The 23,217-nt window shown below is 46.5% G+C and overlaps 2 protein-coding genes across 2 annotated transcripts in view, besides 2 other annotated features; both read left to right on the forward strand.

The window, feature by feature from the left end:
- Nucleotides 1-23,217, forward strand: part of LOC124900647 (nascent polypeptide-associated complex subunit alpha, muscle-specific form-like) — an 89,556-nt gene that overhangs the window by 20,482 nt on the left and 45,857 nt on the right. The gene's annotated exons all lie outside the window — the stretch shown is intronic.
- On the forward strand, nt 11,311-19,580 carry LOC124900837 (hornerin-like). Its single transcript, XM_047416541.1, has 2 exons — nt 11,311-11,814; nt 12,430-19,580. The coding sequence occupies exons 1-2, from the start codon at nt 11,311-11,313 to the stop codon at nt 14,038-14,040; spliced, it is 2,115 nt and encodes a 704-aa protein (XP_047272497.1). The 3' UTR covers nt 14,041-19,580.
- Nucleotides 15,638-16,138: an enhancer, noted in NCBI's record as "H3K4me1 hESC enhancer chr4:1143546-1144046 (GRCh37/hg19 assembly coordinates)". NCBI's record gives its function as "activates a minimal SCP1, AML or CMV promoter by ChIP-STARR-seq in naive H9 embryonic stem cells {active_cell/tissue: H9 hESC(naive)}" and the evidence as "EXISTENCE:reporter gene assay evidence [ECO:0000049][PMID:30033119]".
- Nucleotides 16,139-16,639: an enhancer, noted in NCBI's record as "H3K4me1 hESC enhancer chr4:1144047-1144547 (GRCh37/hg19 assembly coordinates)". NCBI's record gives its function as "activates a minimal SCP1, AML or CMV promoter by ChIP-STARR-seq in naive H9 embryonic stem cells {active_cell/tissue: H9 hESC(naive)}" and the evidence as "EXISTENCE:reporter gene assay evidence [ECO:0000049][PMID:30033119]".

Genomic DNA, 23,217 nt, shown 5'->3' on the forward strand with positions numbered 1-23,217 from the left:
GCTCCGCCTCCCAGGTTCACGCCATTCTCTTGCCTCAGCCTCCTGAGTAGCTGGTACTACAGGCGCCCACCACCACGCCCGGCTAATTTTTCTTTGTATTTTTAGAGACAGGGTTTCACCATGTTAACCAGGATGGTCTCAATCTCCTGACCTCGTGATCTGCCCACCTCAGCCTCCCAAAGTCCTGGGATTACAGGCGTGAGCCACCGCATCTGGCCCTTACCCAGATTTTTAAAAAATGTTTTTAAAAAGTGTGGTAAAATATACGTAACAGAAAATTTACCATTTTAACCATTTTAAGTATACAATTCAGTGACATTAAGTATAGCCACGTTGTTGTGTAACCATCACTACCATCCATTTCCAGAATGTTCTCATCTTCCTGAGCAGAAAGTCTACCCACTTAAGCAATAACTCCCATCCCCCTGACTCCCAAGAGTCTCTATGTGGCTCTATGGATTTGACTCCTCTAGGTCCCTTACATGTAGTATCATACGGTATTTCTCTTTTTGTGTCTGGCTTATTTCACTTACCATAATATTTCCAAGGTTCATCTGTGTTGTGGCATGTAACAGAATTTCCTTCATTTTATGGCCGAATGATATTCCATTGTATGGATGGACCACATTTGTTTATCCATGCATTTGTTGATGCACACTTTCTGGCTGCTGTGAGCATTGATACATAAGTATCTCAGTCCCGGCTTTTAGTTGTTCTGAGTATGGATCTAGGAGCAGAATTGCTGGATCTGTAGTTATCTCATGCTCCTGGGCTCCTCCAGGGCTTGGGATGAGTCTGGGGTTAACCTGAAATAATGCCCTTGCTTGGCCTCTTCCTCTCCCTTCTCCTGGGAGCATTTCCTTAACAAATCACTTGCACTTGAATCCTTGGCTCAGGGTCTGCTTTGTGGAGCACCCAACCCAAGACAATCCAGAGAGGCGGTGAGGCCTCCCGTGAAGACAGGAGTGCGGTCTGTTTGCCCCAGTGGAATGATGGATGATGACCCCCATTGAACTCGCCCTCGTCTTCCCTGTCTAGTCGCTAAGACTTGTACTTTGAAAAATAGACAAAACTACGGGTGTTTTGCAGAATGCTTGAGATCAGGAGACCCTTTGAAAGGGAGCATCCAGGAGCACATGTTTTCGCTGATTAGTTTTGAATTGTAAACATTTTATGAACAGTCTGCTGCATTATGATCACTGTGCTTCATGGTGATTCTCCCTTTTTAACAGTCCCTGCTTTTTATAAGGGACTAACACATTTTTTTTTTTAAAGTGCACCAAGGACTAGAAAGCAAGTGGCTTTAAAGGCTTTAAAACTAAAACTTGGCCAGACACGGTGTCTCACGCCTGTAATCCCAGCACTTTGGGAGGCCAAGGTGGGCAGATCACCTGAGGTCAGGAGTTTGAGACTAGCCTGGCCAACATGGTGAAACCCTGTCTCTAAAAAAATACAAAAATTAGCTGAGCATGGTGGTACATGCCTGTAATCCCAGCTACTAGGGAGGCTGAGGCAGAAGAATTGCTTGAACCCGGGAGGGGGAGGCTGCAGTGAGCCAAGATTGCACCACTGCACTTTAGCCTGGGTGACAGAGCGAGACTCCGTCTCAAAAGAATAAAAAAACAAAAACAAAAAAACTGAAACTCACTAGGCAGGTGGGAAGAACGTACACAGTTACCCACCACCAGCGTCTTCCCTCCCTGTTCCTCTCATCTCTACCTCTTAAATTTACCATCAAAGTTGCTTTATCCGTTTTTTTTTAATTCAAGACAATTGAATTTATTGTTAAGGGACATTAATAAGAAGGACTAAGAGAAACAAGATAAAAAATACAGAATATATTTGGCTTAGGAATTTCCAAGTAAGTTTACAGGGCAAGGATTTCTTACCCCAGGTTTGTCAGCTGGCACCGTTGGCAGATGCGCAAGCCCTGTATCTTCCCCCTCTCAGTGTCCAGTTGGGGAATGCAGGCCTTTCTCTGCTTCTGAAGCAGCTTCTCTTTCTTTCAGAGAGAGCTTTGAGCCAGAGTCAGAGCCACACCTGCGTCTCTAGTAGTCTTAAGCTACCCAGAGGCCAAGGGGAAGAGAGGGTGGGAACCCACACCGACAGAGCACCTGCAACATGTCAAGGGTGTGCCAAGTGCTCTGCTGCTCCAAGGCTCATGTTATCTTCAGTTTACAGAGAAGGAAACAGACTCAGTCACCCAGCTATTAGGCAATTAAGGTGGATGTCATAGCTTGTGTTTTTGTCGACAAAGCCTGTTTTCTATCCTAAGTAGTCTCGGCTACCTCCACTTGGGGAAGATGGAATATCAATCTCTTGCAGACTATTTTTAGTCCTAATGAGAAAAAACAAACTTTTAGGTAGATTTTGATGACTGGCTCTAAGGTCATCTCTCTATCTCTCTTGAACTTACTTTCTTTTTCTTGTTTTTTGTTTGTTTGTTTGTTTGTTTGTTTAGACAGAGTCTCGCTCTGTTGCTCAGGCTGGAGTGCAGTGGCACCATCTCAGCTCACTGCAGCCTCCACCTCCTAGGTTCAAGCAATTCTCCCACCTCAGCCTCCTGAGTAGCTGGGATTACAGTTGCCCACCACCATGCCTGGCTAATTTTTGCATTTTTAGTAGAGATGGGAGTTTCACCATGATGGCCAGGCTGGTCTCAAACTCCTGACCTCAGGTGATCCACCCACCTCGGCATCCCAAAATGCTGGGATTATAGGCGTGAGCCACTGTGCCTGGCCTCATTCTTCTAAATAAGGTTCATAACAGCTGAGTAGGAAACACCCCCTAAACATCTTTTTGTTATTAAAAGCAACATTGATTTGTGTACCCCTGTAACTCCAGTAATATTTATTTTCTTAAAGTCTATTTTATGCTATCTTTTTGTTCTTATTTGCGTGGTATGTCTTTTTCTATTCTTTTACTTTCAGTCTTTCTGATATTTAAAGTTTTCTTTTGGAAATAGCTGTTCTTTATTTTTTGTTTTTTTAATCTAGTCTGACAATCTTGGTCTTTTAATTGGAGTGTTTTGCCCATTTGCACTTCATATAGTGTAAAATATATTTAGGTTTAAGTCTACCATATTGCTATTTGTTTTTCATTTGTCCTATTTGTTCCTTGTTCCTTTATTCCTTTCTTGCCGTTCTTTGGATTAATCAAGTTTTTTTTTTCCATTTTTCTCTATTAGCATATTAGTTATGCATTCTTTTAGTACAGTATTCTTTTATTGATTACCTTGGTAATAATATGCATCCTTGTTGCGATACCTTCTTCCTTAAATTAGCGTATTTACTACTTGCTGAACATTGCAAGAATCTTTCAGCTGTTTAACTGCGTTTACCTGCCTTCCTCCTTTGTGCTATTGTTGTCGTATATTTTACTGCTACATGTGTTATAAACTCCACAAGTCAATATATGTATATGTTCATTTCCCTTCGACTTGAAGAGCTCCCTTCCATATTTCCTGTAGTACAGATCTGATGGCGAAACAATCTCTTGAGCTTTTGCTTGTGTGAAAATTTTTTTATTTCACTTTCACTTTTGAAGGATATTTTCACTGAGTACCGAAATCTAGAAATCTAGCTTTGTATTTTTTCCTTTATTTTTTAAACTTTATTAGTTTTATTTTATTGTGGCCAGAACACAACATGAGATCTACCCTCTTAACAAAATTTTAAGTGTACATTACAGTATTGTTGACTGTAGGTTTGATGTTGTGTAACAGATCTCTAGAACTTATTTATCTTGCTTAACTGGAACTTTACACTCATTAATTAGTAAATCTTCATTTCTCCCTCCCCCCAGCCCATGACAAACCACCATTTCACTCTTCGATTCTACAAATTTCATTGTTTTAGATACCATATGTAAGTGGAATCTTGCAGTGTTTGTCCTTCTGTGACTGGCTTATTAGCATAGTGTCCTCAAGGTTCATCCATGTTGCTTAAGATTGCACAATTTCCTTATTTCTTAAGGCTAAATAATATTCTATTGTATGACTATACCGTATGTTCTTTACTCATTTGTCCATCAATGGACATATAGGTTGCTTCTACATTTTGACTATTGTAAATAGTGCTGTTATGAAAATGGGGTGCTAATATCTCTTTGACATCTTGATTTCAATTATTTTGGGTAAATACCCAGAAGTGGGGTTGCTAGATCATATGAGGTTCTAGTTTTAGTTTTAGTGTTTTTTTGGTTTGGTTTTGTTTTTGTTTGTTTGTTTGTTTTTTGAGACGGAGTCTAGCTCTGTCGCCCAGGCTGGAGGGCAGTGGCGCAACCTTGGTTTACTGCAACCTCCACCTCCCAGGTTCAAGCAGTTCTCTGCCTCAGCCTCCCACCAGCATGCCCAGCTAATTTTTGTATTTTTTAGTAAAGACAGGGTTTCACCATCTTGGCCAGGCTGGTCTTGAACTCCTGACTTCATGATCCACCCGCCTCGGCTTCCCAAAGTGCTGGGATTACAGGTGTGAGCCACCACACCCGGCCAGTTTTAGTGTTTTGAGGAACGTCCATTCTGTTTTCCACAGCAGCTGCACCCACTTTGCTTTCCCACCAGCAGTGCACAAGCGTTCCAGTGTCTCCACATTCTCACCAATACTTGTTTTTTTTTTTTTTTAAATAGCCATCCTGACAGATATGAGGTGATGTTTCATTGCTTTGATTTGCATTTCCTTCATGGCATTGAGATTTTTTCATACACCTGCTGGTCATTTGAATATCTTGTTTAGAGAAATGTCTATTTAAGTCCTTAGCCCACTTTCAGATTGGGTTATTGGGTTTTTTGCTATTGAGTTGTAGGCATTCCTTATATATTTTAGAGCTTAGCCCCTTGTCAGGTAGACATGGTTTGCAAATATTTTCTCCCATTGCATGGGTTACCTTTTTACCATTTTGTTTCCTTTACCATGCAGAAGCTTTTGAGTCTGATGCAGTCTCATTTGTCAGTTTCTGCTTTTGTTGCCTGTGCTTTTGTTGTTATATCCGTGAAATTATTGCCAAGACCAGTGTTATGAAACTTTTCTTCCCTCATGGTTTTTCATAGGAGTTTAACAGTTTCAGGTATTACATTTAGGTCTTTAATCTATTTTTGGTTTATTTTTGCGTATGGTGTAAAATAAAGGTCCAATTTCATTATCTTGCATGTGGATATCCAGTTTTCCCAGCACCACTTATTAAAGAGACTGTCCTTTCTCCACCCTATTCTTGTCACCTTTGTCAAAGATCAGTTGACCATATATGTGTGGATTTATTTCTGGGCTCTTTATTCTGTTCCATTGGTCTGTCTGTCTTCACACTAGTATTATACTGGTTTTTTGTTGTTGTTGTTTGTTTTTTGTTTTTCCGAGACAGAGTCTCACTGTGTTGCCCAGGCTGACATGCAGTGGCGTGATCTCAGCTCACTGCAACCTCCACCTCCCGGGTTCAAGTGACTCTCCTGCTTCAGCCTCCCCAGTAGCTGGGACTACAGGCATCCATGCCCAGCTAATTTTTTTATTTTTAATAGAGACAGGGTTTCACCATGTTGACCAGGCTGATCTCGAACTCTGACCTCAAGTGATCTCCCCACCTCAGCCTCCCAAAATGCTGGAAATGCTGGGATTACAGGCGTGAGACACCACACCCAGCCCACAGTGTCTTGATTACTGTTGCTTTATAGTATATTTTGAAATCGAGTCTAGATGAAGAAAAAGAGACAATTCAAATAAAACCAGAGTGAAAGAGGAGACATTAAAACTGATGCCATAGATATAAAAATGATAATAAGAGACTAGTATGAATAATTATATGCCAGCAAACTGAATAACCTAAAAGAAACAGATAAACTCCTAAAAACACACAATCTATCCAGACTGAATCATGAAGAAACAGAAAGTCTGAATATCTCCTTAACTAATATGGAGATTGAGTACATAATCCAGCACCTTCCAATAAAGAAAAGCCCAGGACCAGATGGCTTCACTGGCAAATTCAACCAGCGTTTAAAGAAGAATCAACACCAATCCTTCTCAGATTCTTTTCAAAAGTTGAAGAGGAGGGAACCATTCCAAACTCATTTTATGAGAACAGCACTACCCTGATACTAAAGCCAGACAAAGACACTACAAGAAAAGAAAACTATAGGCCAGTATTCCTGATGAATATAGATGCAAAAGTCCTCAACAAAATACTGGTGAGCCAAATCAAAGACGCTTTAAAAGGATCATATTATTACACCATAACCAAGTAGGGTTTATCCCTGGGGTGCAAAGATGGTTCAGCACACATAAATCAATATGGTATATTGTATTAACAGAATAAAAGATAAAAATCACATGATTATCTCAATAGATGTAGAAGAAGCATTTAACACAATTCAGCATCCTTTCATGATAAAAGTTATCAAATTAGAAATAGTAGGAAAGTACCTCAGCATAATAAAGACATTATATGAAAAGTCAACAGCTAACATCATACTCACTGGGGAAAACAAAAGCTTTTCCTTTACGATCAGGAAAAAGGCAAGGATACCTGCTTTTGTCACTTTTATTCAACATAGTACTGGAAGTCCTAGCAAGAGCATTTAGGCAAGAAAAAGAAATAAAAGACATCCAAATAGGAAAGGAAAATAATATTGTCCCTGTTTGCAGATGACATGATCCTATACATAGAAAACCCTAAAGACTACATAAAAAACTGTGAGAACTGGCTGGGCATGGTGGCTCACACCTCTAATCCCAGCACTTTGGGAGGCTGAAGCAGGCAGATCAGGAGGTCAGGAGATCGAGACCATCCTGGCTAACACAGTGAAACCCTGCCTCTACTAAAAAAAATACAAAAAATTAGTTGGGCATGGTGGCAGGCGCCTGTAGTCCCAGCTACTCGGGAGGCAGGAGAATGGTGTGAACCCAGGAGGTGGAGTTTTCAGTGAGCCAAGATCGTGCCACTGCACTCCAACCTGGGCAACAGAGCGAGACTCTGTCTCAAAAAACAAAACAAAACAAAACAAACTGTGAGAATGAATAAATGAATTCAGTGAAGTTGCAGGATACAAAATCAATGCAGAAAATGAGATGCATTTCTATACACTAACAATGAACTATTTGAAAAGACAATTAGGAAAACAGTCCCATTTACAATACCACCAAAAAGTATGAAATACTTAGGAATAGACTTAACAAAGGAAGTGATAGACTAGTATACAAAAATTACAGAACATTAATGAAAGAAAGAAGACACAAAAGCCATCTCGGGTTCATGGATTGCAGTACTTCATATTGTTAAAATGTCCGTACTACCCAATGCAATCTACCAAATCAATGCAATCCCTATCAAAATTTCGATGGACAGAAATAGAAAAACAATTCTAAAATTCATATGGAACCAAAAAAGACTATGAAGAGCCAAATTAATCTTGAGAGAGAACAAAGTTGGAGTCATCACACTTCCTGATTTCAAAATCTATCACAAAGTCGTTTTTCCCTTTCCGTTCAGCATCTCTGAAGATGCCATAGCTTCTGTTGAAACGTTAACAAAATCATTTTTAAGATTGAAGTAACTGTGCCCTGATATGATTGTGGTTTTCCCTTTGGTTATTTTTAATTTTTTTCTGTTTGTATTTGGCTTTCGATAGTGTGACAATGATGTACCTAGGTGTGGTTGTCCTTATATTTATCCTCATTTGGGGTACTCTGAGCTCCTTGAATCTCTGGGTTGATGTCTTCCATCAATTTTCAAAATTTTTTGGCCATTATGTCTTTAAATATTGCCTTTTCTCCATTCTCTCTCACCTTTCTCTTTGGGGCTGCAATTGCATGTATCTTAGGCCATTTGTCTTCCTCACATATCTTACACTCCTTTCTGGTCTTTTCATTCTTTTTTCTATTGAAATCTCTTCCAGTTCACTAATCTAATCTCCTTCACTAATCTTCTTTCCTGGTCTTTTGTTGACTCTATCGAATGAGTTCTTCAGACATTGTGTTTTTCAGTTCCAGAATGTCCACTTGGTTTTTTAAAAAGAGATCCTAATTATTGAAATTCTCCATCTTTTCATATATCTTGTTCATCAATTTCCCTATTTTCTTTAACATATTAATAGTAATTTTAAAGTCCCGCTCTGAATCATCTGTGTATCTCTTTCTATTGCCTGTTTAATATTTTGGCTTCTGGTCATTCAATCTTTTTTTTTTTTTTTAAAGCATGCCTCATAATTTGGGATTGGATGCTGTACACCATAGAGGGTTTTTTTTATTTTTTTGGTATATTGTAGAGGGTTTGAATAATGCTATCCTCCTCCAAGGAGGGTTATTTCCTGCTAGCAAACAGGGCTGATCTATTCCAGTTTTGTCCTTATTCCTAGAATGTAACCCACCCCTGGGATGTAGTCCTTATTTCTAGGGCCTGATCTTATGCCCAGAGTGTAACCCTTGTAGGGTCCAGGGTGTTTTCTGAGATCCCTCCACCTTGTTGGGTCATGGTCCTTTCCTGCCAGGTCCATGTGGCTGACAAAACCTCTGCTTCATTCTTCAGCGGTTGCTGTTTCCTGCTGGTTGTTTTTGTTTGCCTGTTTTGAGTCTCTCTCTGCTTTTATGTAACTTAGGTATCAGCCAGTTATTTGAGGAAGATTTTAATTCAGATTATTAGGCTCCTTATTTTTGTTTCCTTCCTTTTCTGGATTTCCCTCCTCACTTCCCAGCCACTTTGGCAGTCCTGAACTCTGACCTCTCTTTCCTTGGCCCTTTCTCTTGAGATTTATTACCCTAATATACAATTTGAAATTTTCCTGAGTGGAAAACACCAGGATGATTGTGGAGCTCACCTCGTGTCTTTTCCCTCTCCAAAGATCGTGGCCTCTTAAGTCCTGTCTGTGTTGGTTGTACTCAATGCCTTCAAACAGGTGCTTTAGATGCCCATTGCTCTTGGAATTCCCAGCCTTCAGAACTGTGAGAAATGTATTTCTTTTCTTTATAAATTACACAGTCTGTGGCATTCTGATATAGCAACACAATATGGATTGTGACAGATGGCCAACAGGCATCTCAGATTTAATTAATCCAGAAAAAAAAATTCCTGACCCCCCGCCCTCCCACCCTGACCCAAACCATGGTCTGCAGTCTTCTCCATCTCTGTAAATTCTTGTTTATTTGTCTCTTTGTGAACCCCATTTTCATTCTGTCAGAATGTCTTATAGGTTCTGCCTTCCAAATGCATCTGGTATCTGACCATAGCTCCTCTCGCTGGAGCTCCCTTGATCCAAGCCCCATCCTCTTTCCTGGATGATGGGAGGAGCTTCCCTGGATATCTCTGCTTCTGCAGCCATGTGGCATTTAAAGTGTGGATTATACTAAAAGCCTTGTCACTCAGAGTCAAATTCAAAGTCTGTCTGTGGCTGTTGACCAAGGTGCCGTGATGCTGACCTTCCAGCCCCACCTTCTATCCTCCAGCCAGTCCAGCCTCACTGTCTGCTTCCTCAGACACACTCCAAGTCTCCCCCATCCCCGTGCATCACAGCTTCAGGGTTACTATCCCAGTGAGTTCTTCTTCGTCCATGCTGGGAGCCTCCTGTCCCCCTCTCTGAGTTGTTTTATGACTTGCTCATTTTCTAGGTTATTGTTTTTCTCTGTCCATGAAACCATAAACACCCTGAAGGCAAGATTCCATTATTATGTTTCTTTCCAGTTTGAATCCGCAGAATCAAGAACAATGACTCATAGGTGAGCGGTAGATATTTGCTGAATATATAAAGGAACACGGGGAGAAAAGGAAGAAAAGAGAGAGGGAGATGATTTTTAAAGGGAAAAGAGTGGAATAAACATAATTAAAAACACAATCTTCAGTTGCCAAGAGAGCTTGAAATTAAGTCCTGGGCAACTGACCATTTCTGAGCATTGAGGAAGAACCGCAGTGAGCCTGTGGCTTCACCAAGAAAAGGTTGTGCCGCACAAGTCTCATTCCTTTTTTTGTTAGGGAATACCAACAGGGAGAGCTTAGAACACTGTGGATATCATGGAAATGGTACCAACAGGGAGAGCTTAGAACGCCGTGGATATCATGGAAATGGCACCGACAGGGAGAGCTTAGGACACCATGGATATCATGGAAATGGCACCGACGGGGAGAGTTCAGAACGCCGTGGATATCATGGAAATGGCACCGACGGGGAGAGCTTAGAACGCCGTGGATATCATGGAAATGGCACTGACAGGGAGAGCTTAGAACGCCGTGGAGATCATGGAAATGGCACCGACGGGGAGAGTTCAGAACGCCGTGGATATCATGGAAATGGCACCGATGGGGAGAGCTTAGAACGCCGTGGATATCATGGAAGTGACACTGACAGGGAGAGCTTAGAACGCCGTGGATATCATGGAAATGGCACCGACGGGGAGAGTTCAGAACACCGTGGATATCATGGAAATGGCACCGACGGGGAGAGCTTAGGACGCCCTGGATATCATAGAAATGGCACCGACGGGGAGAATTCAGAACGCCGTGGATATCATGGAAATGGCACCGACGGGGAGAGCTCAGAACGCCGTGGATATCATGGAAATGGCACCGACGGGGAGAGCTCAGGACGCCGTGGATATCATGGAAATGGCACCGACGGGGAGAGCTCAGGACGCCGTGGATATCATGGAAATGGCACCGACGGGGAGAGCTCAGGATGCCGCGGATATCATGGAAATGGCACCGACGGGGAGAGCTCGGAAATGGCACCAACGGGGAGAGTTCAGAACACCGTGGATATCTTGGAAATGGCACCGATGGGGAGAGCTTAGAACGCCGTGGATATCATGGAAATAGCACCCATAGCGAGAGTTTAGAATGCCGTGGATATCATGGAAATGGCACCGATGGGGAGAGCTTAGAATGCCGTGGATATCACGGAAGTGGCACCGACGGGGAGAGTTTAAAACACCGTGGATATCATGGAAATGGCACCGATGGGGAGAGCTTAGAACGCTGTGGATATCATGGAAGTGACACTGACAGAGCTTAGAACACTGTGGATATCATGGAAGTGGCACCGACGAGGAGAGCTTAGAATGCCGTGGATATCATGGAAATGGCACTGACAGGGAGAGCTTAGAACGCCGTGCATATCATGGAAATGGCACCGATGGGGAGAGTTTAGAACACCGTGGATATCATGGAAATGGTACCGATGGGGAGAGTTTAGAACGCCGTGGATATCATGGAAATGGCACTGACAGGGAGAGTTTAAAACGCCGTGGATATCATGGAAATGGCACCGATGGGGAGAGCTTAGAACGCTGTGGATATCATGGAAGTGACACTGACAGAGCTTAGAACACCGTGGATATCATGGAAGTGGCACCGACGGGGAGAGCTCAGGACGCCGTGGATATCATGGAAATGGCACCGACGGGGAGAGCTCAGGACGCCGTGGATATCATGGAAATGGCACCGACGGGGAGAGCTCAGGACGCCGTGGATATCATGGAAATGGCACCGACGGGGAGAGCTCAGGACGCCGTGGATATCATGGAAATGGCACCGACGGGGAGAGCTCAGGACGCCCTGGATATCATGGAAATGGCACCGACGGGGAGAGCTCAGGACGCCGTGGATATCATGGAAATGGCACCGACGGGGAGAGCTCAGGACGCCGTGGATATCATGGAAATGGCACCGACGGGGAGAGCTCAGGACGCCGTGGATATCATGGAAATGGCACCGACGGGGAGAGCTCAGGACGCCGCGGATATCATGGAAATGGCACCGACGGGGAGAGCTCAGGACGCCGTGGATATCATGGAAATGGCACCGACGGGGAGAGCTCAGGACGCCGCGGATATCATGGAAATGGCACCGACGGGGAGAGCTCGGAAATGGCACCAACGGGGAGAGTTCAGAACACCGTGGATATCTTGGAAATGGCACCGATGGGGAGAGCTTAGAACGCCGTGGATATCATGGAAATAGCACCCATAGCGAGAGTTTAGAATGCCGTGGATATCATGGAAATGGCACTGATGGGGAGAGCTTAGAACGCCGTGGATATCACGGAAGTGGCACCAACGGGGAGAGTTTAAAACACCGTGGATATCATGGAAATGGCACCGATGGGGAGAGCTTAGAACGCTGTGGATATCATGGAAGTGACACTGACAGAGCTTAGAACACTGTGGATATCATGGAAGTGGCACCGACGAGGAGAGCTTAGAATGCCGTGGATATCATGGAAATGGCACTGACAGGGAGAGCTTAGAACGCCGTGCATATCATGGAAATGGCACCGATGGGGAGAGTTTAGAACACCGTGGATATCATGGAAATGGTACCGATGGGGAGAGTTTAGAACGCCGTGGATATCATGGAAATGGCACTGACGGAGAGTTTAAAACGCCGTGGATATCATGGAAATGGCACCGATGGGGAGAGCTTAGAACGCTGTGGATATCATGGAAGTGACACTGACAGAGCTTAGAACACCGTGGATATCATGGAAGTGGCACCGACGGGGAGAGCTTAGAATGCCGTGGATATCATGGAAATGGCACTGACAGGGAGAGCTTAGAACGCCGTGCATATCATGGAAATGGCACCGATGGGGAGAGTTTAGAACACCATGGATATCATGGAAATGGTACCGATGGGGAGAGTTTAGAACGCCATGGATATCATGGAAATGGCACCGACGGGGAGAGCTTAGGACACTGTGGATATCATGGAAATGGCACCGACAGCGAGAGTTTAGAATGCTGTGGATATCATGGAAATGGCACCGATGGGGAGAGCTTAGGACGCCGTGGATATCATGGAAATGGCACCGACGGGGAGAGCTTAGAATGCCATGGATATCATGGAAATGGCACCGATGGGGAGAGTTTAGAACGCCGTGGATATTATGGAAATGGCACCGATGGGGAGAGTTTAGAACGCCGTGGATATCATGGAAATGTCACCGACGGGGAGAGCTTAGAACGCCATGGATATCATGGAAATGGCACCGACGGGGAGAGTTTAGAACGCCGTGGATATCATGGAAATGGCACCGACAGGGAGAGTTTAGAACGCCGTGGATATCATGGAAATGGCACCCACAGCGAGAGTTTAGAACACCATGGATATCATGGAAATGGCACTGACAGGGAGAGTTTAGAACGCCATGGATATCATGGAAATGGCACCGACAGGGAGAGCTTAGAACGTCGTGGATATCATGGAAATGGCACCAACAGGGAGAGTTTAGAACACCGTGGATATCATGGAAATGGCACCCACAGCGAGAGTTTAGAACACCGTGGATATCATGGAAATGGCACCCACAGCGAGAGTTTAGAACACCATGGATATCATGGAAATGGCACCGACAGGGAGAGCTTAGAACGTCGTGGATATCATGGAAATGGCACCAACAGGGAGAGTTTAGAACACCGTGGATATCATGGAAATGGCACCCACAGCGAGAGTTTAGAACACCGTGGATATCATGGAAATGGCACTGACAGCGAGAGTTTAGAACACCGTGGATATCATGGAAATGGCACTGACAGCGAGAGTTTAGAACACCGTGGATATCATGGAAATGGCACCAACAGGGAGAGTTTAGAACACTGTGGATATCATGGAAATGGCACCCACAGCGAGAGTTTAGAACACCGTGGATATCATGGAAATGGCACTGACAGCGAGAGTTTAGAACACCGTGGATATCATGGAAATGGCACTGACAGCGAGAGTTTAGAACGCTGTGGATATCATGGAAATGGCACCCACAGCGAGAGTTTAGAACACCGTGGATATCATGGAAATGGCACCGACGGGGAGAGTTTAGAACGCCGTGGATATCATGGAAATGGCACCAATGGGGAGAGTTTAGAACACCATGGATATCGTGGAAATGGCACTGATGGGGAGAGTTTAGAACACCGTGGATATCATGGAAATGGCACCCACAGCGAGAGTTTAGAACACCATGGATATCATGGAAATGGCACTGACAGGGAGAGTTTAGAACACCGTGGATATCATGGAAATGGATTTCAGAAAGGCTTTTGTATGTTAGTTTTCAGCCAAGTCAAGAAGTGAGATGCATCCACATCTGGCTGCATGCTTGTAATTAGAATCTGACTTTCAAATTCGTCTCAATGTGTGTGGAAGTCTTAGAACCACAGTTCATCCTGCAGTTTGTTCAGTTCTGATTAAAAGCACTCACTCCACATGTGCCAGGCACTGCAATAGGCTTTGGGGATACAAAGGTTAATAGAAGAGTTCATGCCCTCAAAGAGCTCATTCAGTCCTAATACACCTTCAAACCGGAAGTGTCCCTGCTGACACAGAGCAAAATGACCACTTTTATGAGCGACATGAAACTGGGAAGGGGACCCAGATATCCTCCTGTCCCCATCCCCGTCCCCCAGCACAGGGCCTGTGTCCCAGCAGCCTGCTGGTAGACCAAAGCAGCCAAGGTAAAAGGCCAATCCCGGCTCTCCCCCCAGCCAGCTTCGCACCACTCAATCTGTGGGAAATTGAGGGCATCATATTTGGACCATGACTTACTTGTGGTTGTTTGTTTAATTGGTTTTGATGAGTTTGGTTTGCTTTTCTCTCCTTGTACGATTTGCCCATTTTCTGTCCTCGGTTTTTCCATGTCTGAGTAATAGTCTTCTTTTGTCTTATGCCCATCCCCCGTTTTTGCCAGAGCCTTCCACCCTCCTGCCTCAGTCTCCACAGCCTGCTCCCTCGGCCTCCTCTGGGCTGGCTGTCCTGGGTCAGCGGTGAGTTCTTCTTTCTTGGGTTACATGCTTTGCGGCTTCTTTGCTGAATGCAGTCAGGGGCAGGGGCAGGGGCAGGCCCAGGGAGCTCGCCTGTCTTGCCCTACAGAGTCTTCAGCTCCCAGCTCTTAGCTTGACCCAAACGAGATACTTTCACGCATGTGTGTTACAAACTGGAGCAAAACCGCGCACTTGGCAACTAAGGAGAGTTAGCCTGCAAAGAGAAATCTGGGATGGGTGGAATCTGTGACTTCAGTTATGACGGACTTTCAGGTGAAAAAATGTGTATTTATTTTGAGTGGACCCAGATGGCAGAACAAGGATGATTGGATACAGTTGTGGAGATGTAGTTCCTGCACTATGGACAGCTGTGGGCTGTGCTCCCCGGCAAGGAAAAGGCGAGCAGCCACCCCAGAGCGCCAGTGCAGAGGCTCCCTTGGCACTAGGGTGTGGGGCAGGTGTGGGCTCCTCCACCACAGGGCAGTGGGTGAGGAGCACCAGACCCACAGGATGGCTTCCAGGACCAGTCTGTAGCTCTTGGACTTTAAGGGCATACTGTTCTCTTTTAAAGAAAAGTTAAAACTGTGGCCTGATGCGCCTTTTTTTTTTTTTTTTTTTTTTGAGATGGAGTCTCATTCTGTCACCCAGGCTGGAGTGCAGTGACGCGATCTCGGCTCACTACAACCTCTGCCTCCTGGGTTCAAGTGATTCTTCTGCTTCAGCCTCCCAAGTAGCCAGGACTGCAGGTGTCCACCACTACTCCTGGCTAATTTTTTTTCTTCTTTGTATTTTTAGTAGAGACGGGGTTTTACCATGTTGGCCAGGCTGGTCTTGAACCCCTGACCTCAAGTGATCACATGCCTCGGCCTCCCAAAGTGCTGGGATTACAGGTGTGAACCACCATGCCTGGCCCTGATGCACTTTCAAAGTTTTCCATAACAGTGAGTTTTAAGTAGCCAAGCTCTAAATCTAAATAATTGCCCAAGGGTGATGGTTAAGGAGACTGCTGAGTGGGAAGAACAGAGAGTAGGGAGGCTTGGGAAGACCAGGTGAGGAGGAGCAGTCAGTCAGAGAAGAGCCTTGGCAGGAACTGAGGAGGGAGGCGTGGACAGCAGCATCCGTGGGAAGGAGGACTCCAGAGGCTCCTGACTTGGGTGAGGGAGCCAGCCACAGTGGGCCCTGGTCTTCCAGCCAGATGGGACCGCTTGCCAGAGGATCCTTGGGGTGTCACATTTCTAGCTGGAAACTTCTGTGGCTGGTGGCACCCTTGCCCGAGTTTTGCTTGGGCCCACTGGGCTTGTTCTGCCCACTCAGCCTGGCATGCTGCACTCAACTCACGCTACTGGCCTGGATCCCACACCTGCCAAGAGCGAGTCAGGCACAGAGCAGTGAGGGGTGTGTGAGTGAGCATGGGGTCCAGCCACTGTGCAGTCAGGCACACCCGCAGCTGCTGCAAGGTGGGCAGCTCCAGTGCTGGCATGGGCGCCCACTCTCTGCAAGGCTGCAGCTGGACCAGGTGCACTGCAAGCAGCTTCCACAGCTGGCACTGGGGAATGCAGTATGCCAGGAACCACAGGGCCCCAAAGAGGGAGTCCAACTCAGAAGGGGCAGGGCTCCTGCTTGTTCCTGGCCTGGGGGGCTCCCAAGTCTAGGCTCCCTGAAGGGCTGCAGCTCTTCTCTCCTTCTCTTCCCCCATAGCATGGCAAGCAAGGGGCATGTCTCAGCCCTGTTTGTGTTATACCAGCTCTTTTAGCCTTGCCATTTGACGGGTCCCAAGTTCTTGTCCTGTGACCAGGAAGAATGAGGTCTGCAGACAAGTGGAGGGTGAGCAAGAGGAAGACGAGCTTTATTGAGCGATACAACGGCTCAGAGGAGACCCGCAGGGGCAGCTCCTTTCCACAGCCAGGGTGTCACAACGCGTGTTCAGCTCCTAGCACAGAGGAGACCGTAGAGTGGGAAGCTCCTCTTGGCAGGCAGGCCATCCTGTCATCTCTGAGGCTCTCAGCAGAGAGGAGGCCCTGGAGTGGGTTGCTCCTGTCTGCAGACGGGCCATCCCTTTGTGCCTGCGGCTCTCAGCAGAGAGGAGGCCCTGGAGTGGGCTGTTGCTCTCTGCAGGCAGGTCCTCTTGTTGTCTCCCCAGCTCTCAGCAGAGAGGAGGCCATGGAATGGGTAGCTCCTCTCTGCATCTGGTTGCCCTGATGTCTGCTCAGCTCTGGTTGAGCCTAGGGCTTTTATGGGCCTTAGAGGGGAGGAAGTGCACTGTGATTGGTACATTGGCAGTCATGGGTAAAGGCACCAGAAGTTCCCACTCTGGTCTGCAGGACTGGCAGCCCAGTCCCCAGCCTTCAGGACCTCCCTGGCCTGAAGGTGGGGGCCTCACCAGGGACCTGCCCTCTTCCACCCAGGAACTTGTCTGCGTCCTGCTGCTATTCATGGTGTCCAGGCTATAGGTGCCAAGGGGTGCCTGCAGGCCAGTGCCAAGCTACCCTCAGCCCACCCTTGGCTTCCCTCCTATTCTCGGTGCTTAAAGTCTGGAGGGTGCTGAGGCAGCAGGGGGCTGGTGTATTAGCACTGCCCTGAGCGTGTGCACACCTGGCCAGGCTGCAACAGTGCCCAGGCTCGCCCTGACTTTACTCTGAGATCAAAGTGGACACTGACAGCAGGGAGAAGCCAGGCAGCAGAAGCAGGCACTTCCAAACCTGCGAAGGCCGGGGATGGGGCTTCCTGGGCCCCCTAGAGTGCAGAGATGCCTGGGTCTGCAGCCATGGTTTGGGTGGCTGTAGCTGCGCCTAGGAGAGGGGCTTCTCTCTGCTCCCGGCTTCCAGGAGCACAGGGATGCCTGGGTCTGCAGCCATGACTTGGGCAGCTGCATCTGTGCCCAGAGGGGTGGGGCTCCTGCCTGCTCCATGGAGCAGAAGGCCTGGATCTGCAGCTGGGACTTGGGTGGGGCTTCTGCCTGCTCTGTGGAGCAGGAGGTCTGGGTCTACAGCTGTGACTTCAGTGGCTGCAGCTGTGCCCAGGAGAGTGGGGCACCCATCTGCTCCCGGCCCGAGAGCACAGGGATGCCTAAGTCTGCAGAGAGCTACCACCCAACTCGGAAGGGGCAGGGCTCCTGCTTGTCCGCAGCTCCTGCCAGTTCCATGGAGCATGCAGCCCTGGCTGTGCCTCCCTGCTGCAGCTGGCATGATGGCACCAGCCACTTTAGATGGACCGTGGTGTCATCACTGAGACCCTGTCTTGACACAGCTGTCAGGACACTCTCTAGCCACACTTGCCTTCCTGCTGCCAGTGCCGCCGTGGCTCAGGTGGCTGCAGTTCCTTGAGATGTCCCAGTGGGTCCTGGGTGAGCCCATCCAGCTGATGGGCCATGAGGCAACAGGCAAGTGGACAGGCCAGCACTGTCCCCCTTCCTCTTCTTCTGCCCCTTCAACTGCAGGCTGGAAAATTCATATGTTACCAGGAAAACAGCCGGCTACCCAGGGCTATTTACCTCAGGGGCCAAGCTTCCCGTGGGATGAGATCGTTGGGCTCAGAGAACGTGTTGAGCAAACACAGTACTTTCTGTGAGCTGGGTTAGGTTGTAAAAGCCTTACAAAGAGTAACCTAATCATCAGCACAACCAACAGAAATAGATGTTTGTTTTTTTAATCATCATTGCATTTCACAAATTAAACAGAGGGTAAGTCACTTGCCCAGTGGCACACAGCTCTCAGGTGACAGACTGGGATTTGGATCCAGGCAGGCTTGTACAGACTCCAGAGTCCCAAATATGGCTTCATCCACAGTGTCGGAGCAGCAGCGAGGGCTCTAAGACCACCCAGCTCTCTTCCTGGCTATTTTTTCCATGCTACTCATCCCAAAACTTGATCTCACATTGCTCTGTTTCTTTCTCTGCCTCCATGCTTGATGCATTTACTTAATCTTTCGCAGGATGGGTCATTACTTTTTGCAATAGCACACTCAAAGGTAATGACCAAGATAAATTGAAAAGAGGATTCAACAGTATTCATTGTAAGATTGAATGGGATATAAAATACGTAATCAGCACTTGTGAGGAATATCACTAGATTCTCTTCTTCCTACTCCCCCTCCTTTTTTTTTTTTTTTTTTTTTTGCATTAAAACCCGGGAATTTGATGTTGATTGTGGCCTAAATGTTAAGCATATTCTGGATTTTCTACACCGTTCTGACACCACAGGTACTTGTTTCTTTCTCAGAAGGCAGGTGAAGCTCAGCTGTGTGGGGCTGTGCTTGGTGGCAGTGTGGGAAACGTGTGGAACTCACCATGGTGTTAGCAGCTTTTACTAGCCGTTTGCTTGGAAAACAGTCTCCGATCTGCACTTGCACACCCACCACGATGCCTTCTCCCCATGGCTCTGTGGACACCAGGAGGTCAGGGCACAGAGGACGTGCGACTTGTGCTCCTGTCTTGCTGCACAGTCTAAAGACCTCACGTACGTTTTGAATGTTCAACCACTATTAGAGTGAGAAATGGCATCCAAGATGCTTTTACTGAGGAACATTGACAACTGGAAAACAAATCAAGCTTGGATTCCAGGGAACACTGTCCAGATTTCCTGTTTTATGAATTTTACCATTCACTCTTAAGGCTGTTAGGTTTGAATAACTTGATAAATGATCAAGAGAAAACCATGCAGCATTATGTTCACTGCCAAGTAATATGGACGTAGAGGATGGCAGAATTCTGTAAAACCACTTCTGGAGTTCAACATTTAACCGAGCACATTTTACTTACCTGTTACCAGTGTGTCGCTTGGAATGTCTTCTATTAGGCATTTCTCCTCACGTTCCCCTGCGTGGAAATAAAAGGCAGTTGAAAATGGAAAACCAAAACATAAAAGAAATGTTAACATTTGCATTTCTGTTGCTTGAGCCACTTCTGATAATACTTTCTTTGAAATGGATCCGTTGCAAGTGCCACTGGTTAGTGGGTGTTTGTATTTCACTGGCTAATTTTGTAAAATTGATTTTTGTGAGAAGTGACACGTGGCGCTGACACTGGGCAGATACTTGCAGCAAATCCGACGAACAAGATAAAAAGGCGTAAGAATTTGGGGCCTTTCCAAGCTGATGATGCAGAGTTCTTTCTGATCCGCCACTGAAAAGATGTTGAAGCATTCTGATGGAGTGAAGAAGCTTCTAATGAAGATGGTGTCATGGAGTATGAGAAATGAGAGATGGGGAGGCAGGTGTAGGCAGGAGGGGAGGGAGGCTGGGTGTGGGGGTGAGGCTAGGCATGTCGAGGGGAGGCTGGGTGCGGTGGGGAGGCTAGGTGTGGGGGGGTGTGGCTGGGTGTAAGGGGTGAGTTTGGGTGTCTGGGGGGAGTCTGGGTATGTTGGGGGAGGCTGGGTGTGTGAGAGGAGTCTGGGTGTGTGAAGGGAGTCTGGGTGGGTGGGGGAGAGCTGGGTGTGTGGGAGGGAGTTTGGGTGTGTTGGGGGAGGCCGGGTGCCGGGGGAAGGCTGGGTTGGGAGGAGTCTGGGTGCGGGGGAGGTGGGTGTGGACCTGTGGGTGGGAGGAAGGGAACCTGGCTAAAGTGGAACCACCTGGACTAGGAAGAGCGCGTGCCCTGAAGAGACTAAGTCTGTTTCCTCATTTAAAAAAGGAGTGAAAATCACTTAGTGATCCATTAGGTCTTTTCAGCTGCGACATCCGGTGTTTTCTCTTTAAACCTTTTATTTAAAAATGTCTGTAGACTAACAAAAAGTTACAAAAATAGTGCAGAGGTCCTGTGACCCATTCGTCAACGCCCCCAGTGCAACGTCTTATGTGACTAATCACTGCAGGACTGCATCACGGGGACCGGGCATTTGACAGTGGCAGAGAACAGCTAGCTCGGCTGCAAAGCTCACGTGCTCACATTTTTGCACACGCTTGTTTTTTGTATGTGAGTGCACCATCATGAGAATGCTTCAGCGAGCCCTTTTGAGCACTCTGGAAAGAAGTGGGAAGATGGAAAGAATGCATCGTGTGGTTTGGAGCAAGTGCTGGCAGCCGAGGGCCTGGGCTGTCTGACTACACTGCTTCTCAGTGACGTGAGTGTGGACAGATCGACGGACCTCCGGGCCGTCACCCATAAGGCAGGGGCAGTGCATTGTCGCAGGGATTAGATGACACAGGCGGTGTGGGCTTCTCAGCCCTGGTCTGGTGCATAGTGGGCATTTGGTGAAGGGTGTAGCTGTTGCTTTTCTGGTGCCAGGTGGAGCTCTGGCTGGATTCCAAGCGTGTGGCAAGGGTGACCAGGCACGCACCTGCAGCTGTCTTCATCCACGACCTGCCCTTCCTCCTACCTAAACCCAGCTCCAGTTTCAGAGCCCACCTTTTCCTTCCTCCTCAGAGACCTCTCTCCCTTCCCACTGGTCTGTTCCCTCTGCCTCAGTCTCCCAAACAGCCAATGTTTTCCTTTAGAGATGTTCTGAAGCACAATGTTGACAAGCCTAGACTCTGGGGCCACACTGTCTGGGTGTCCCTCCTCTGCCCCTTACCTCCTGTGCGATCCTAGGCAAGTTCCTTAGTTGTTCTCTGCCTCAGTTTCCTCATCTGAGAGAATAAAGAGCCCACTTTATACGGTGGCTGTAAAGACCAAATGATACTCTCTGTGTAAAGTGCTAAGAACAGTCCCTGGCACACAGTACACTCTGTGTAAGTGTTTGCCAGTGTTATTTCATAGCCTGACATCTTGAGGGGTTGCCAGATAGGCTAGCTCCACTTCTCTACTTCCTCACACAGCTAAAAAAAACAAAACCGTCTATTCTAGAACAGTTTAAGCACATGAAACTAGAGAATTGTGTGATGAACCCCAAACTAGTTTTACTTAACCAACACACACACACCACACACACACTTTTAAAGTATGTCAGGTCAGAGGCCGTTTTCACCTATCGGCACTTCAGTATGCGTCACTAACTAGTGAGGACCTTATTAAATGAAACAGTCACCAACCATGCCATCACAGCAAGGTTAATAAGAATCCCTTCCTGTCCTCCGACACGCAGTTCACAGTCACATTTCCCTGATTGACTTAAAAGGTCTTTTTCACAGTTGATTTATTTTGATCAGTATCTAAACAGAATCCACACATGACACTTGGTTGCTATGTCTGTTAAAACTCTTTTATTTATAGGGTCTGCCTTCCCCACACAAGTCTCTTTCTTAACCCACTAATTTGTTGGAGGCCCTGGGGCCCTTGCTCTTGGCGGCCGGCATCCCAGATGTGGTGAAAGTGTCCTCAGGTGCCGTTGGACTCAGCACACCTTCGCTGTGACTGCAAATCTCTGGGGGTTCTTTTTGAGCTCACGCCCTGATCTGGAGGTGAGGACGGGGCCTGGGCACTGACACTGATGCTCCAGAGACTGTGCTGGGAGTGGCGAGGGGTTGGCTGGCTCTTCCTCCAGCTTCCCAGGTACTGGCGTGTGCAGTTAGAGTTGATGAGACTCGGGCTCAGACTTTAAGCTAGAGTTGCTGCTGAGTGCCTCCTGGTGCCTCACAGTGGAGGCCATGATGTCCAGGTGTCCTGCCTTGAGTGACCACAGCCCATCAGGGGCTCAGTGCTGTCCCCGCTTGCCCCTTGTCAGGTTCCCTCAGCCTCTGCCTGGCAGTTTTGACATCCACTCTCTCTCGATTCCTCTTTCCTCAGTGGTTGCTACAGGAGAACTTCTCACCAACTAGCTGCTTGCCCTGAAGCAGTTTGTACAGGAAAGGCCGGCCATGGGCTTGGTTCTTTCCCTAGAATTAGCAGTTTTCAAAGGAGTATGTTTGTTCCCTAACAGCCGCCATGTAACCAATGGGGATTCTTTAAAGTATCATTATGAATTCATGAGTGGCTGGGTATTTAATGCTTTTCTGATATATTGGAGTCATTATTCTTAATACTTAAATTGCCCAACCTTTGGCCAATGGTGACCCTTCAGTTTCACTCCTGTGTCCTTTAGACAGAATAACATTCACTCTTTAATATAATATAAAAGGCATTCACGTGAGGGGCATTTGCTTCTGCAGATCGTCATTGCCCTGAGCTTTCTCAGGGGACAGAGCTAGGAAAGGTTTTACTGTGGGCTTATTTTTAAATTAAAAAAGGAGCTCATATTCTCATGTCCAATCGAAGTGTAAGACTAAAGAGTTTTACTTCATTTCATTGAATATATACTTGTATCTCTTTTATGCCAAAAATCTACTTACTGGCATTAATACAATATATTTGCTTTATCCTTCAACATAGCTATACAGGCCATACCTTGGAGACACTGCAGGTTCAGATCCAGACCACCAATAAAGCAAACATTGCAGTAAACCAAGTCACAGAAATGTTTTTGTTTCCCAGTGCATATAAAAGTTATATTGACACTATATTGTAGTCTATTAAGTGTGTAATAAGCACTGTGTCTACAAAAAAGATGCATGTACCTTAATTAACATACTTTATTGCTAAAAAATGCTAATGATTATCTGAGCCTTCATGGAGTGGTAACCTTTT

This window comes from Homo sapiens, chromosome 4 (genome assembly GCF_000001405.40).
Source record: "Homo sapiens chromosome 4, GRCh38.p14 Primary Assembly".
Lineage (NCBI taxonomy): Eukaryota > Metazoa > Chordata > Mammalia > Primates > Hominidae > Homo > Homo sapiens.

Bases quoted from the DNA above. Each gene is read 5' to 3' on its own strand.
- LOC124900837 (XM_047416541.1), top strand. From the start codon at position 11,311: ATGGAAGTGGCACCGACGGGGAGAGCTCAGGACGCCGTGGATATCATG. The intron at 11,815-12,429 runs GCACCGACGGGG...TGACACTGACAG, and splicing joins CCGCGGATATCATGGAAATG to AGCTTAGAACACCGTGGATA.